This window comes from Homo sapiens, chromosome 12 (assembly GCF_000001405.40).
Source record: "Homo sapiens chromosome 12, GRCh38.p14 Primary Assembly".
Classification (NCBI taxonomy): domain Eukaryota; kingdom Metazoa; phylum Chordata; class Mammalia; order Primates; family Hominidae; genus Homo; species Homo sapiens.
Genome location: NC_000012.12, coordinates 92,594,991 through 92,613,066, shown reverse-complemented (window position 1 = coordinate 92,613,066; position 18,076 = coordinate 92,594,991). Strand labels below are relative to the sequence as shown.

General features: G+C 39.4%; 2 long non-coding RNA genes across 2 annotated transcripts in view; one reads left to right on the top strand and one right to left on the bottom strand.

Annotated features, from left to right (window-relative positions):
* The window catches only part of LOC124902983 (uncharacterized), a 57,302-nt gene extending 41,941 nt beyond the window's left edge, over positions 1-15,361 (top strand). Inside the window, exon 2 of the long non-coding RNA XR_007063406.1 lies at positions 15,007-15,361. This is a non-coding gene — a long non-coding RNA (uncharacterized LOC124902983). The remainder of the gene's footprint in view (positions 1-15,006) is intronic.
* The window catches only part of LOC105369905 (uncharacterized), a 72,972-nt gene that overhangs the window by 17,189 nt on the left and 37,707 nt on the right, over positions 1-18,076 (bottom strand). The gene's annotated exons all lie outside the window — the stretch shown is intronic.

Genomic DNA, 18,076 nt, shown 5'->3' with positions numbered 1-18,076 from the left:
ACATACCTTTTCATACATGAGGAAATGACATAAATGTCTTGTGTTGTAAGCTACATGTAGATAGGAAGTTATGTAGCTTTGCATTCACCAGTGCCTTGTATACAACAGGCATATAATCAATGGGAATGACATGACATCAGCAGCACACAGGAAGCTGATGGTTTATCCACAGCACTGTCAATACATGTTAGTGTCATATGGTGCAAGTCATGTCAAGACTTGCCAATTAACTGGGGAGCAAGAAATGACTACGAAGGACAGAAATCAATCTTCCAAGGCTGGAAGTGTGTCAGTGGCAGAGGTTAGAGGAACTGATCCAAAGAGGTAGGCACACAGCTGAGAGTGTGCTGGGCAGGATAAAGAAGGAGGAAAAGGAGAGCCTAGTGGCCACATCAGTGGACCATTATAGGCATCGTTGTTGATGCTAAACTAATAAAGGTCCCTCCTTCTCAGCCCCCTTGAGTGAGTCTGAGGACTCTCAAAGTCTGTGGTTTTGAATGGCACACTGAGTTTTTAGCTTTCATTTGGTACCCTTTATTTTACTGCATTAATTATCTTACATGGTATTTAATGTTAAACACCATTTCCCATTAATTAAGCATTTTTTTTTGATAAACTTTTGGTAAGAGTGCTAGCAAGACCAGAGGGCTAGGAAGACCAAAAGATCAGTATTTCAGCTGTTTCCAGAAGTGTTAGGGTGGGATAGTAAGGCAGTGAGAGGTAGGCCAACAATGGGAGTATCCTGTATAACTAATTACTAAGAAATTTGTGATAGGGTGTAGCATCACAGATCTTAGAAACAGTTTTTCACATGAACAGGACATATGTAGAATTTACAATGTACCATGCACTATTCTAAGTGTCTTATGTTAACCCAACCTATAAGCTAGATTTTTTGTTATGTTTATTTTACAAATGGGGAAAAAAGGGAATGGAGAGATTAGGAACTTGGCCAAGATCAGGTGGTTGTACATGGGGGTGCCCACACTAAAATCTCAGCCCTTGACCATGCCGTTAACCACCTCATGAGCAGAGGCAGTATTGTGGTGATGATGAAGAGAGTACTTAGGTACTATCTCTTGCTTTTTGGTTTAGTGGATTGCAATACTGATTCCTTTCTTGTGCTCATCCTATTGGAATTGTACCTAGACTATCAAACACACAATTGCTTGATGTCTTGCCTGAGTCTTGCACTTTACAGTGTACAGATGCTTCCATCAACAGCCCTGACTGTGATCTTTATAACTATGTTGGGACATAGTTTTTATTACCTCTGGCCTTCAGATAAGGCAAGGGAGGCCCTGTGTGGTCATTCCCAGCAAGTGGGGCAGAGCCAGGCACATTCGGAGGGCTGTAGACTCCAATTTCTTGTGCTCTTGTCTCATTTGAGCAACATCATGAATTTATAAATTTGCCCATTATGGGCCTAGGTAACATGTTACCTTCCAACTTAAAAACAAGCCAGATTCTCCCACCATGTCGGTTGATAAGTTATATAGTGGGGTAGTGGTATATTCATTTTGGAGCTATGTTTAGGGATCTTCAGAAACCTGTAATAATCCTATCTTCTGCTAGTAGCCTCCTGGTCTTTCAGATTGACAGTTATACTGGAGAATAATCACCTATTTATCAAACTTTTTAAAAAGTGAATTTTTTTTTTTTTGTATTTTAAGAAAGGCAATTAGATCCCCTCCCCCCTCCCCATTTTTCCTGGTATCAATGTTTGGTAGTTTTGACTCCCTTTAAATATGAATGAAAAAAAGCTAAACTATGATATTTTAAGTGAATAAGTGGGGCCTTAATTTAAAAATTTATATCTACTACTAGCAAACTGAAAAGTCTTTAAAAATGACTCAAAAGCTATTTATTATTTTCTCTCTCTCTCTTATTTTGTGAATGCTCATGAGGAATGGATGAGGCATGGGAAACCTAAGTGATTTATTCAGGTTTTACTGAGTTGGTAATAAAACCTGGGTTTGGAGAACTAGGTTGGGAAAAGTCACACACTTTTCTCTGCTTTTTTTTTTTTTTCTTCACATGAATTCTCTACTGGTTCATAAAGTTGCTAGCATAGCTCTTACAAAGTCTCACTCATGAAATGAGGTATTGATTCTTTGTTTTTTTTTCTTTTTCTCCTCCTGACTCAAATTTCCTTTTACTTCCACAGTTGGAAAAGGAAGAAATGAACTTCTGGAATCAAATACTTAAATGATGTAGAAAAGCAAAGACTGCAAACCAAGAAAGCTAATGTATACCAGCTTTAACTGTGACCTGATTATGATATGATATTAATTTGCAGGGAAAAAGGTTATCTCCTTGCATTCTAAAAACCACGATGTTATATATGATTGAAGACAAAGGATATATATTTTTTCCAAGACAAAATGACTCATGGCCTTTAGGTAGACAGTATAATAAACTCAAATGCTTATGTAGGCTGCTGAGTTAGGGAAGAGCATGAAGTGGGTCAGGTCTAAGAGATTATGGAGATTTGCATGGAACTGGAATCTTGGAGGGCCCGTGCCCCACCCAAAGGCTGTTTGGCTATATTGCTCCAGCTGATTTCTACCAAGTAAGAATTTGGTACCTGGGTGGCTGCATTTCCTGATTTTTCAACCTGGGCACCTAGATTTGCATGTGAAAGCCCCCAATTATAGGCTGATATTCACTTCAGGGGTTGGTGTCTGGCCAGCAGAGCACACATAATGACTAACTTCAGCTTGGGAAGGGCTGGGTTTTGCTTATAAGACAGTGGAGACCCCTACACATTTTTATCATTTAATTTTATTTCAAAACCAGAAAGGACAACATTGAAGGCCTAAGAACATGGGAACAACCAATGAGACATAATTTTTCCAAAGGAGTTGTCTGTACTCAAAGATTAAAAGAAACACTGTTTTAGATGGAAGTTATAGGGAGGCACTTTATTCTTTAAGTACGCAGTAACAGTGGTGTCCCCAAAAGAGTAGACTAGACAAGCAAGTGGAAATGGATAAAATCCCGCTCATCTTTCAAGGCCATTCTTAAACACCACGTACTCCACAATCCATTTGCTTTAAAATCATATGACGTCTATGCTGTCCACCACAGCTTCAGAGAGTACTGAAACAAATATTTATATTTGGAATAATACTCAACAAGAAATTTAACAGTAGGTTTGTCATGGATAATGGCCCATCAGAGCAGATACAGCCTTTAAAACAATAGTAAAGATATGCTTATATACAACAGCAAAATACAAGATCTGTTTCTATCATTCTTTTAATGTCATAGAATTTTGTTACTCAGAGGGTAGACCTCAGACCAGCAGCATCAGCATCACCCGGGTGCTTATGAGAAATACAGAATCCCAGGTCCCACTGCACACTTATGGGGTAAAAATCTGCATCTTAACAGGGTCTCCAAGTGATTAATACGCATATTACAGGTTAAGAAGTGCTGTCCTGGAAGACTTTGTAGCTCACTTTGTCATCATCTACCATAATCTTGCATTAAAATTAGTAAGTAATTATTTGTCATTCCTAGTAGACTATTAGTTTCTTGAGGGCAGAGGCTACGTAAAAAATCCTACTAAAGTGCTTAGCATCTTGGCCATAGTAAGGATTAAAAAATTTGTATTTAATTGAATTAAAAATGATTTTAGGGCCAGGTGTGGTGGCTCACACCTGTAATCCCAGCACTTTGGGAGGCGGAGGTGGGCAGATCACCTGAGGAGCTCCTCGAACTGATCAGGAGTTCAAGATCAACCTGGCCAATATAGTGAAACCCTGTCTCTACTAAAAAAAATATAAAAATTAGCTGGGTGTGGTGGCACATGCCTGTAATTCCAGCTACTTGGGAGGCTGAGGCATGAGAATCACTTGAACTCAGGAGGCAGAGGCTGCCATGTGCTGAGATCAGGCCATTGCACTCCAGCCTGGGTGATGAAGTGAGACTCCATCTCAAAAAAAAAAAAAAAAAAAAAAAAAAAGATTAAAAAAAATGACCATAGTTACAATCAGAGTGGCTAACATTTGTTGGGTGCTTTCTATGTATTTTACAAATTGTAAACCGTTATTATATTTATGTTACAGATGAGGCATTGGGGGTAAAAAAGGTTAAGTAACTTGTGCCAGACATGAAGGGGCAGAGAGGAGTCTCGGCTTTGATGCCACACCAAGGCTTGAAATATTATCAGCCTTAGATTGGCAGGTGTGAACGAAGGAAATAAGAGAGGAAGATTGGAAGAAAATTACTTCAGTCTTGTAAGCCTAGGAGACTAGAAGAAGGATGTTTTATTCTTGATGATACTGGAAGACTCATCAATAGTTGTCTTCGGGATCTTGTCCCAGAGATAAAATGCTTCCTTTTACAATCGGGAATAGCTGCGGGTTAACATGCATCCTTGACCAGAAGATGGAGCACTTTAGTCTCCATGGTTTATTGATTCATCTGCCTGGAGATGAAAGGGCAAGAAAGAACATTTTTTTTTTTTTTTTTTTTGCCTGTGACAGTCATTTTGCCTTTTCTCCTAAAGAAAGGAAAGGAAGTAAGAACTCAGCTAAGTGTAGGAAAGATGATTGAGAGTGGGGAGAGGAAAAAGAGAGGAAAATGTCACTTGTTTTTTTCAGATCTTTCCAGCAGGAAGCAAAGAAGTCGATATAGTCCGTGACACAGGAAGCCCTAGTAACAATCTAATGGGACCACCAGACAGTAGTACTATGGGGGTGATAGGCAGTATATAATTATTTTTAATGTGCATGTATGCTTAGGGCTTGAATTGTACCACAGTGCTGTCAAATAGTAAAGGATAGATAAAATGAACAATTCCTCCTGTGGAGTGGGACAGAAACCAGCCTAAGTATCCCACTGGGGGATAAAAATGTGAAATGAAGAGCTTAATAAAATTAGGGCTATGCAAGGGAAAGTGGAAGTCTGTCTTAATAAGCTAGCTTTGAAATATTTTAAATTGCTGTTAGGAAATCTATGAGATTATTCACAAAACACTCACATGGAAAGAATTGTCTCAAGCTACATTTCCATCCTAGTTTTGAGAACTAGATGGTGAATACTGCAGAATTTTTTGCCATCTTCTAACAATTAGCTTCAGGAGATATTTATTTAATTGAATGTATGTTAAGTAAAACAAATATATAAATGCTCATTCTATAACCATATATACCATTGCCTCTACAATATAGGAAATCCTTCTAACAACATCTCAGAAGAATATTATCTGCACAACCTGAGAATCTGTTAGTGTTAGGTTAATTGGAAAAAAAATATTTTATACATATGATGTCAAAAGTAGATGAACAGGTCTCTTGAGTAATTTCTTAGATTTCAGGATTAATGTCTTACAATAATTTATTAAAAACCCATATGGAATTGCACATCTAAACTTCCATAATTCTCTCTTCTGGGATAATAATACATTTTCTCCATTTAAGTCTTTTCTTTGGTTGATTAGTCTTGCATCCTCTTATTGGATACTTAGGTAACTTAAATGAGTGTTTCAAATACAAGAACTTAGTGTAACTGTACACTAAATTCTGTTTCAGCATGAAATTCAGAAATTTGTAATTTGGGATTTAGAACAATTTAAATCAGAATTGTTTTGACTTTGGGTTTTATATTTGATTATATGAAAGCCAAATAAAAGTTAGCATGCTGTTAAGTATTTAACAAAGTGTTTACATATACGAAATACTAAAGGCTAGTAGAACACTCTTTCTGCTAAAGAGACCTCTAAAATAGCTTTATACTTTTCTGCTTGGGACATGAGTTGAAAGAAAGACTCTAGCTGTCTAGCCTTGAATTGAGACTGACCCCAATTGTGGAGGAAATATCAATCAGCCTCAAAATCCAGAAAGCCTTCATTCTTGAAAGAGCTTTTTATTCCCAGCGAGAACGTCTGTCTCATGGGAGAGGCTGCCACCCTGGTGGTTAGGAGTTTAAACTCTGGAGACTGGCTTCAGATTAGAGTTTTGTGACCTGCAGTTATGTGACCTAGGGCAAATTACAGAAACTTTCTGTGCCTGGATTTTACTGTTTGTAAAGGAAGGATAACTAATAACATCTACATTGTAAGAAAACTCTATGGATTAAATAAGATAATGTGGGTACAGAACTTGGGACAATGCTCTTCCCCAAACAAATGCCCCCAAACAGTTGGCTATTTTTATTATTAAAAACAGTAGAATAAAACCCACTGTCTTCACTTAGCCATTAAATAAGTCAACCTGAATTAATTGTTACTATTTAATTTTATTCTTAAAATTTCTTATGACATAAGCAAAACGCAATCATTATAAATTATAAATACACATAAACAAGAAGAAAATATCATTCCAAGTCTTATCCAGAGAAGATCTATAATGACATTGATACACACATGGCTTTTTTCCCATGCCTATATATATCTCTAGGATGCAAAAATAATCACATTTAAGCCAAAATAGTATTAAAAACTCATACATGTTTTGTATAATTCCTTAATTGCTGAACTTGTCACTCAATAAACTACATGACCTCAAGCAAATTACTGACCTCTTTCATGTGTTAATTTGTTTGCAAAGAGCTCCACCAAAGTGTTGTGAGAAATAAGACTTTATGTAAAATGTAGTGTACTTTATTACAGAAATCACTGTGTAGGACATATCTTTTTTTTAACTTTTTTTAAAAAAATTTTACTTTAAGTTCTGGGATACATGGACTTATCTTTTAAGGATTCCATTTCAAGGACCTTTTCACTGGTAACAAGTCAGGATCTGGTAAGAAGTTCAGATCTATCACTGTTACCACTCCTCTCTCTGCCACCTCTATTTGCCAGGCCTTTAATTCTTCACATGTCTAGTGTTGGCTCTGAATTGTAGGTGATTTATTATTGGAGAAGTCTGGCTTCAGCTGAGACAAAATGCACCCACAGGAAGATTATTTTCCATGATAGGATGTAATCAGATTGAGAGTAAGAACTGTATTTTATACTTGTTCATATTCCCTAAATATCCATATACTATGCTTTGAATGTTAAAATTTGATGAATTTTAAAAGGGTACTAGAATAGTCCATAAAATAAGATTTGCCAACTCAGAAAAAATGTGCCTTGTGTCCTAGCTGAGTAATTCACATACTTGTACTTTAGAAGAGGCAATTGAATAAGCTAACAAAAATTTTTATGTAGCATTGCCTCAAGTATATTAGAAATATTTTTTGGGTTTGCTTTTATGCCTTAGTACGATTAAGTATCTTTTCATCAGGTTAGCATTTGCTGTTTGCTGCTTGTCTGAACAAGGTATGCTAAGGCGAAAGATGAAAGTAACATCGTAAAACAGCAAACCCCAACCTTTGTGGAACTAGGGACTGGTTTAGTGGAAGACAATTTTTCCACAGACCAGGAGAGCAGGGGATGGTTCTGGGATGATTGAAGCACAATACATTTATGGTGTACTTTATTTCTATTATTATTACATTTAATGAAATAACTATACAACTCACCATAATGTAGAATCAGTGGGAGCCCTGAGCTCATTTTCCTGCAACTAGATGGCCCCATGTGGGGGTAATGGGAGTCAGTGACAGATCATCAGGCATTAGATTCTCATAAGGAGTGTGCAACCTAGATCCCTTGCATGTGGGCAGTTCACAATGGGGTATGTGCTCCCGTGAGAATCTAATGCTGCCACTCATTGCCGTTGCTGATCTAACAGGAGACAAAGCTCAGGCAGTAATGCAAGCGATGAGGAGCAACTGTAAATACAGATGAAGCTTCACTTGATCACCTGCTGCTCACCTCCTGCTGTGCAGCCCAGTTCCTAACAGGCCATAGACTGGTACTGGTCTGTGGCCCAGGAGTTGGGGATCTCTGCTCTAAAACACTGAAATCTCTCCAGTGATGATTATAACAAAAATCACCCATTACAACTTTATAATTAAAGCCCTTGATAAAATACACATTAAATGTGTTTTTGGGAGAAGTCCTGCTTTCTGCATTTCCCCCTTTTCAAAGATTAATTCATTTAACTGAAACTGATGGTGGGAAGGAAATGTACACAGGCTTGAAATTTTGTTTGGAAGCAATTATGTTCTGTCCTTCCCAAAATATAGATTGTGCAATGAATGGGGAACTTGGCTAGAGCAAGATTGTTGACAAAATGTAGCTAGACAATTTGAGCTATTTTTAGTTATTATTCTGGTTATACTTAATAACATTTATCATGAACATTTACTTTGATGAAAGTGATTCTTTTAGGATATAATGAAGAAATGTTTGGCATTAGTTTTGGAAAAATATCCAAAAGTTTTTACAAAAAAACCCAACCCCCAAAACAACAAAACAAAACAACCTTATATTGAGAGGAGATAAATATCCTCATTGACTTTAAGGGGGTGGGTGGGGTGAAATTGTGTTAGAATATGTAACACTTTACTTAAAAAAAAAATCAATGCATGTAAAACTTATTCTGAAGAGTTAAAATCTCATTCGTAAAACATTTTAACACTTTTTTCTTCTGTCAAGCATATCTTGTCACTGAAAGTGGCCTAATACAATTTTATCTGGTAGAGAAAATTAGAGGAATTGCTTTAATAAGAATGATTTTTAATTAACATTGTTGATAAAACGAGCCCTTTTAAAGTTCTTGAAGGTGCTTGAAAACAGCTTCCTCTCCTCAGTAGGTTGTTTCAATTATGATCTATCATCATTTCTTCCTTCATAGGTAGTAAAAGACAGTTTGAGTTCTGTCCGTGTCAAGCATCACACATCTCAGATGAGTGGGTATGTAGTGATGAGGTAGGAAACACGTAAAGATCTTTGCTGTAATATTTCAGTGTCTGGTGACTCAGATGCTGAATCTACTTCTCATAAGTAAATGTTTCACTCAAATCAAAGAGAGTAGGCACTCCATCTCTGGCTCATGCTTCACTGTACTGAGAGTTTAAACTTCCATGCTGTCCTAGCCTGCTTGGAAAAACCAGAGTGCCCTGAACTTCCAGTGAATCAGCTCCTCTTGGGCCCTGATGTGTCCTCAGGATCTCATTAGATGGAGCCAACTCAGAATCTAAGCAGGTACCTATGAGTTGTCCCTAGTACTGAAAATCCAAATGTTGCTTGGCAGTCCAGTTCATGAAACCTCTAAGAAATGGAAGGTCAGAGGCTGCTGTTTTCCTGTGGAGACATGACTGGTTCAGCAATGGGGGCAGGTCTGGACAGGGTAGTGAGACCCATCAATAGACCATCCATGAGAAGGCCAGTAGGGGGTGCCATGGCTGCCTCCCACTGTTCCTTTCTAAGTTTAGATTTGCAGGGTGTGTGGGTGTGTGAGTCCATGCATGCACACACATTCAATTTATGCTTCTGTCAAAACCCCACATATTCAATAGTAAAAATAACAAAATAATACATATACAAAAATTATAATCAAAAACAATCCCCAGCCTCAGCTTACTCCATTCCATCTCCCTTTGCTCATTGACTCAGAAGTAACTGCACATCTTTCAATTTTTGTTCGAATATGTATTTTTTATTTCTCAGTAATGTGTTTCTACAAATATTTGAGTTTTTAATTTTAGATACTATCTATTGACTGTCTACAAATCTTTCAAATATAGCATATTTAATTAAATCCTTTTTAGTGTTTACCATGGCTCATAGCCGAGCCATCTAGCATACTCATGACATCATCATCTACAATTTTTTTCCCCTGATGTCAATACTGTCTCAGTTTTTTTCCATTGCTTTGCATTCTTTGATAGACATCTAATAATATGTAACATATATTTAGCAAGTATTTTAAGCAATTTATAGGTAAAATATTTTAAGCAATTTATAGGTAAATATAGGAAATTATAGGTAAAAGGTTAGGGAACAGAAGGTGGGACATGTTATGCCCCAGCTTAAAAGGGCAAAGTCCAAATTCCTGGCTATGCTACACAAGATCTAGCCCTTGGCTATTCCTACAACCTGACTCCTTATCTTTTCCTTCTCCATATTTTACATTCCAGCTTCTTGGACTTTTTTAGATGCTAGAATTTATAAGTCCTTTCTTATTCCTTGGCCCTTCACCAGCCTCCTGTTGTCTGAATCACTTTTCTACCCTCTTTATTTGTGTCTTACCCATCCTCTGGTGCCAATCTTCCCCAACTCCTAAAATATGTTCAATTGTCCTGCAATGTGCTCCTGTCACACTGTGTTCTTCTCACTCACCACTCTTTATGTTTATTACTTGCTGGACGATAAATTCAGTGAAGATGAGGTCTAGTTGGTCTTATTCCCTGAGAGAGCCCCAGTGTTTACCACATAATAGGCTCTTTATACATTTTAGTTGTTATATGATTGGGTCTGTAAGGAGAATGACGATGATGCAAATGTACATGAAAACATTCCAGTGACTCAGGCTGAAAAAATCCTATGTAAGGCAATAAATTGTTTTCTCACATGAAGTAATTCCCATTTCTTCTTTATAAATTGCCTAACCTTAAACTGGCTAAGACTTGTAACTATAGAACAATAGACAATGTGGCTTTATATATTGGGCAAACCTGAGTCAAAGAGTCAGTTTTTAGATTTTGCAAATGACCCAGGGCAGCTTTGAAACAGTTGATTAACATCTTGGAGTGTTGGCATGGTGGGCCCTGGTTTCTCTAACCTTCCATCTGCAGTACACACATGGGGACATAATGTGACAAAAGCAGTGGTCCTCTGACCAGAGAAATCAGAGATATCCATGAAGATTCTGCCCTCAGGGAGCTTCCAGTCTAGTAAGGAAAACAGACTATCAGTAGGTAAACACATACATAAGTATGTACTTGTAGATTGGAAAAAATGGTGTCAACTAGAGACCAAATGATGATGGATAATAAAGAGGAAGCCCTACATAAATGGTCAGGGAAGGAGGGAGATATGTTTGGCTCTGTGTCCCTACTCAAATTTTATCTCAAATTGCAATCCCCATGTGTCAAGAGAGGGAACTGGTGGTGAAGCGGCTATGCTGTCTGGGGTATAAACCTGGGGTTCATCATCACGTGCCAGGAAAATTTAGGACATGGACACACACGAGGAGTTTAGGAGTGAAGGTTTAATAGGTAGAAGAGAAGAGAAAGAGAAACAGCTTCCTCTACAGAGGAAGTGGTCTCTGAGCAGAGAGGACCAGCTGGTGGCAAAAGCACCAAGTTTTATAGTCCAGTTTGAGGACGTGGTGTCTGATTTACGTAGGGCTCACAGATTGGTAAGATCAGGTATTTCCTTTACATAGCGTGTGGGGAAGGCTGGTCACCCCACCCTAATCTTCTTATGCAAATGGGCTTTCTAGTTGATCAGCACCATCTTGTCTGCTTGTTATAATACACGTGGCTGACAGAGAAGGGAAGATGGAGCCACCATTTTGAAAATGTCTAGTCCTTAGTTTCTGCCGGCATTCATCCATGCAAGCTCCCAGCTTGCAGGCTGCTCTTTGTTAGAAAATGATTTGGGGCTGCTTTTCATTAACAAAAAAAAAAAAAAGCCTTATCAAGGACTCCCATGCCCTTGCTATCTGCCTAAGTAATTCCTTCTTAACTCCTATATCAGTGGGAGGTGATTAAATCATGTGGGCAGTTTGCCCCATGCTGTTCTCATGATAGTGAGTGAGTTCTCATGAGATCTGATGGGTTTAAAGTGTTGCACTTCTCTTCTCCCCCTTTGCTCTCTTTTTCTCTCTCCTGCTGCCACATAAGACATGCCTTGCTTCCCCTTTTTCTTCTGACATGATTGTAAGTTTCCTGAGGTCTGCCAAGCCTGCTGAACTGTGAGTCAAGAAAAGAGGTTTAAACCTCTTTTCTTTATAAATTACCCAGTCTTAGGTAGTTCTTTACAGCAGTGTGAAAATGGACTAATGCAGAAAATTGGTACTAGGAATGGGGCACTGCTATAAAGATACCTGAAAATGTGGAAGTGACTTTGGAACTGGGTAATGGGCAGAGGTTTGGAGGGCTCAGAAGAATACAGAAAGATGTTGTGGAAAGTTTGGAACTTCCTAGAGACTTGTTGAATGGATTTGGCCAAAATGCTGATAGTGATATGGACAATGAAGTCCATGCTGAGGTGGTCTTAGATGGAGATGAGGAACTTATTGGGAACTGGATTAAAGGTCACTCTTGCTATGCCTTAGCAAAGAGACTGATGGCATTTTGCCTGTGCCCTAGGGATCTGTGCAACTTTGAACTTGAGAGAGATAATTTAGGATATCTGGAAGAAGAAATTTTTAAGCAGCAAAGCATTCAAGATGTAACCTGGCTGTTTCTGAAAGCATATAGGCATATGTGTTCACAAAGTGGTCTGAAAGTGGAACTTATTTTTAAAAGGGAAGCAGAGCATACAAGTTTGGAAAATGTGCAGCTGGGCCATGTGGTAGAAAAACAAAAAACATTTTTCTGGGGAAAAATTCAAGCTGGCTGTAGAAATTTGCATAAGTAAACAGAAGTTGAATGTTAATAGCCAAGACAATGGAGAAAATGTTTCCAGGGCATTTCAGAGATCTTCACAGCAGCCCTTCCCATCACCAGCCTGGAGGCCTAGGAAGAAATGACTTTGTGGGCTGGGCCAGGACCCTGCTGCTCTGTGCAGCATCAGGACATGGCAACCTGCATCCCAGCTGCTCCAGCTCCAGCTGTGGCTTAAAAGGGCCAAGGTACAGCTTGGGCCATTGTTTCAGAGGGTGCAAGCCCCAAGCCTTGGTGAGTTCCATGTGGTGTTGGGCCTGTGGGTGCACAGAGATTAGGAGTTGAAGCTTGGTAGCCTCCGCCTAGATTTCAGAGGTTGTGTGGAAATGCCTGAATGTCCAGGCAGAAGTCTGTTGCAGGGGTGGAGCCCTTATGTAGAACCTCTACAAGGGCAATGCAGAGGGGAAATGTGGGGTTGGGGCCCCCACACAGAGTCCCCACTGGGGCACTGCCAAGTGGAGCTTTGAGAAGAGGGCCACTGTCCTCCAGGCCACAGACTGGTAGATCTACTGACAGCTTGCACCATGCACCTGGAAAAGCCACAGGCACTCAATGCCAGCCTGTAAAAGCAGCTTTGGGGGCTGTACTCTGCAGAGCCACAGGGATGGAACTGCCCAGGGCCTTGGGAGCCCATCCCTTGTGTCAGTGTGGCCTGGATGTGAGACACAGAGTCAAAGGAGATATTGGAGCTTTAAGATTAAATAGCTGGGTTTCAGACTTTGTTTTGGCCAATTTCTCCCATTTGAAATTGGAGCATTTACCCAATGCCTGTACCCCCATTGTATCTAGGAAGTAACTAACTTGCTTTTGATTTTATAGGCTGCTAGGTGGAAGGAACTTCCCTTGTCTCAGATGAGACTTTGGACTTGGACTTTTGGGTTAATGCTGGAATGAGTGAAGACTTTAGGGGATTGTTTGGAAGGCATGATTGTGTTTTGAAATGTGAGAAGGACATGAGATTTCAAAGGGACCGGAGGTAGAATGATATGGTTTATCACTGTGTCCCCACCCAAATCTCATCTCAAATTGTAATACCCCCATGTTAAAGGAGGGACCTGGTGGCAGGTGATTGGATCATGGGGGCAGTTTTCCCCTCACTGTTCTCATAATAGTTAGTGAGTTCTCAGGAAATCTGATGGTTTTAAAATGTGGCACTTCCCCCGTTGCTATCTCTGTCTCCTGCCACCATGTAAGATGTACCTTGCTTCCCGCTTGCTTTCTGCTGTGATTGTAAGTTTCCTGAGGCCACCCCAGCCATGTGGAACTGTGAGTCAATTAAACCTCTTTTCTTTATAAATTACCCAGTCTCAGGTAGTTCTTTATAATAGTGTGAAAATGGACTAATACAGAGGGTATTAGAAAATGTCATTTATAAGTAAAAAGTCAGAGACAGAGTATTCCCAGCTAAGGGAAGAGCAAGTGCCCTCTTTAGGACAGGTGTGGTTAAGGTAGTTATGTCTCTAAAACAGCATGGTTATGTCTAAGATCCAAAAGGAGCCCACTGTGGTTGGAACAGAGGAAGAAAAGGCAGGTAGGCTCAAAATGAAGTTTGAGAAGTAGGCAAAGGCCTCATTATTTGGGGTTGTGATGCCAGTGTTGCCTAACCTGTGGTCTGCACATGGGCTGGTCTGCAACCTGTGGCTCTCTGTCTGTGGTGAAAAGGAGCTTGTGCAGACATAAATCAAGTATATCACCTAGAACACTTTTTAGCTGAGCTTATGGACAGACAAAATGAAAGAAGGAGTGCATTGATTTACATATATATTCTGATGTAAGCACCTTACCTTGTTGTAGACCCACACTTTGAGCATACAATAGAAAAAACAGAGAGTAGAATGGGAAGCAGACAGGGGAAGAGATCAGTCAGGAACAATAGTGTGGGAAAGATATGACAAATGGCTGGATCAAGATGGCAGAAATCAAAGTGGAAGATTAGTGGGCAGATTGTGGTATATTTTTAAGGTAGAATCTGTAGAATATTTTCAGAGTAGGGCATGGGGAGCTCAGAGAGCAATTGAAGCTTGACCTCCAAGTTTCTGCTCTGAACAACTTTGTAAATGTTCACATCATTGATTGAGATGATAACAGTGGAGACAATGAATGAATTAAGGATCAGGCCTGTGTTGTGCATGGATATCAATAGTAGTAGTTATTATAGTGGGGTTTTAAATAACAGGAACCTTTATGAAGAGATCTGTTAGGAAAAATTTTTAACTCTCCAAATTTATAAGTACTAGTCTGTAATGTATAGTCTGCATTTTTGTTTTAATCATAATTTTTTTTTTTTTTAAAAAGAAAGAAAATCCCCCATATTGTATTTCAGATATCAATATGGGGAAGAGTTAGACTCATTCTTCAGCTGAGGGATCTTTTCATCACGAGTGACTCAGCTATGTGACTAAGCCAAGTTGTATAGCTATCATGATCTTGATGGGTATTTCTGAATGGTTGAAATTATAAATGTTAAATCCATGACTACCTAGTGTACATTCAGGGTGGAGAATAAGTTTCATCTTAAGTGTCAACTCACATGAATTTTTTTTTTTGCAGATGCTCTACAAACTGTTTTGAGGCTGCATCTGGATTTAGTAAAGAGTGTTGTCATCAATTTTCAGCTTCTACCTTAGGTGTAGGAGGGAACTGAGGCAGCAAGCAAGTATTTGCTCACTGTCTGCATCTTTCCAGTATAGAGAATGCATCAGAGAAATGCCTCAACATGTGTGGCACTGTGTATATAATTTCCAACACTGCAAAATGGAACAAGCACAAAACTTTGAAGGGACGGTCTATGTGATGAAAAGTTGGAACGGCTTCCAAGAGCTGAAATACAATGTTGTCAGTGTTTCTCCCTCACCATGATATTTGAACCAAAGCTGTCTGATAACAAATGAAAAGCTTTCTGGGATGTCAGTGTGATTTCATTCTGGGATCCATTAGGTATAGAAAAGCAGCCCAATTATGACTGGGCAAATTCCACAGGTCTGGCTGGGCCAATTGCCATGGAATCAGATCATATGGCTGTATTTAGTGATATGGTGGACCATTCTCAATTTCCCTTATCTTATTCTATGCACAAAGATGGCTTGCTTTGTATTTACTCACTTCAATTTAATGTGGCTCTATCATCCCTCCCCCACCTCAGAGCCTTTTCCAGCAAATGGAGGCCTTTTGTTTTTTACCATACAGAAGATTCAGGTGACTGTGTGCAGCATCATGAGACTGCAGACTAGTTGGGATTCATCGGAGTGGCAGCATTTTGATCAAACACTGGGAGGAATGCTGCCAACCTCTGCTCAGGTGGTAGAGACAAGAAGGCTTACGTGTGATATTAGAGTTGATTATGCAAGGACTCTGTCATGAATAATAACAATAATAATTATTATCATGATGAGGCAGAAAGAGAATAATGATTTTGGGAAATCAGTAAAACAAGTCACATCAGTTTTCTGGCTGAAAGCCAGCCTTATTTTCTGGTGAAGAGAGATCATTGGTGATTTTAATAAGTTAGACTATTTTATCAAGGAGCTGGGGGATCTACTGCTGGGCAAAGAAAAAAGTGGGCAACTTCAAAAGAATTACTTTTAATTTACTCTGAGATATTTGCTGGGGGTGTGAAAATGAATTGGGAAGGCAAGTGTATGCCTGCTTATTTGTTAATGATTTCGTGGACTCATAGCAAAAGTTGGGAGGGGATGTTTGAGGTCATCTAATCTACGTGGCTTCAAAATCTTTATTCTTTATAATAGCCTACCTTTTTTGAAATACACTCTTTTGTTGAACTCCAATGCAAAACATGTAAAAGTAGAGATGAGAGTGGAAGAGATGGAATGGAGGGTCAAGAGCATGATCACTTAGGTTTGTGCCTCTCTCCACCCACTTGGTTTTTCCATGAGATGCTTCTCTTCTACGGATTCAGTTCGAAAACTCCTGATTGAATCCAGCCTCCTCATTTTATAAACAGGAGATCGGGTGACTCGCTCAGAATCATGCAATTGGTTATCTCACTGGAGCAGCTCTCTGCAGAATAATCTCTGCACTAAGCCACACTTGGAGTATGAATTGTGACTCTCCTGCCTCCTTAGCCCCTCTAGCCCTTCCCATCTCTCCTGTCAACAGCGTTCCACTCATTACCTTATCCCCGCATGACTCAATAGCCTGTGTCCATATCGCTGCAATTTTCATGACAGTTTAAAGAAAAACACATCTGTCTCCATATACCAATGAGGGCTCAGTAGGGAACACTGATTACATCCTCCACAATGAGGGCCCCAGGGGCTGCTGCTCCCAAACATGCCCTGAGTGCAAGGGTTCTAGTCTGTCACCAACATGGAGAAAATCTCTCTTGTCACATTTTATTGTATTCACTGGCCACGGGACAGGACGGAGTAATAAGAAATTCTGTGCAGGCCTCAGGTTGTTTTGAATTCTGCTTCTGTTTTTCAGAACTGATATTATTTCTGGCCCTTGATAAGCGATAAATTCTCATATCCTGTTTTGTGAGATTTTTAATCATGTGCAGTTAATAGGCTGATACAAAGTGTGAGAGTATCCATCACCTAAATAAAAGAAATTATAGTTTTACATGGACTTGTATTCCTAAATTTCACCAATTTTTAGAGCTAGATACAATCTTAAGAGAATTTCTCATTTAATTTTTTCTCTATGAGGAAACTCATGCCCAGAGTAATGAAGGGCTGGGTCTACCATGAATCAGCTGGTTCAAGGTGTGAACTAAGTCTCTCTCACTTAAGGTACATTCCTTAGTTGGGTTGGTTTAATTGAAGAAATATGCATTGAGTGTCCTCCAGGGCAAAATACCCATGAGAGACAGACAGAGATTTTTCTATTTCCTTGATGGGGTAGGGCAGACAATGAAGACCCTCCACTAAATATGAGCAGCCATTGTGCACATATGGTACTGAGAATGACAACGAGTCTACACAAATCCATCTCTTTTGGAGAGATGATGTGACTGTAAATGATAATGATGAGGAAGACGAACTTTTATAGTATTAGCTTCATCCACAAACAGGAAATTATTATTGCTATTTTTCTATCTTTGAAGGGAGTCTGTTAGAGATGGCAGCAACATGGATGGAGCTGGAGGCCACTGTCTTAAGTGAACTAATGCAGGAACAGGAAGCCAAACACCGCATGTTGTTACTTATAACTGGGAGCTGAACATTGAATATGCATGGACACAGAGAAGGGAACAATAGACACTGGGGCTTACTAGAGGGTGGAGGGTAGGAGGGTGAGAATCAAAAAACTACCTATTGGGTAGTATGGTAATTACCTGGGTGATGAAATAATATGTACACCAAACTCCCTTGACATGCAGTGTATTTATAGAGCAAACCTGCACATGTAACCCTGAAACTAAAAGTTAAAAAATAAATTAAAAAAAAAAGTGGCTGGGCGTGGTGGCTCACGCCTGTAATCCCAGCATTTTGGGAGGCCGAGGCAGGCAGATCACGAGGTCAGGAGATAGAGACCATCCTGGCCAATATGGTGAAACCCTGTCTCTACTAAAAATACAAAAACTTAGCTAGGCATGGTGGTGTCCACCTGTAGTCCCAGCTACTCAGGAGGCTGAGGAGGAGAATTGCTTGAACCCGGG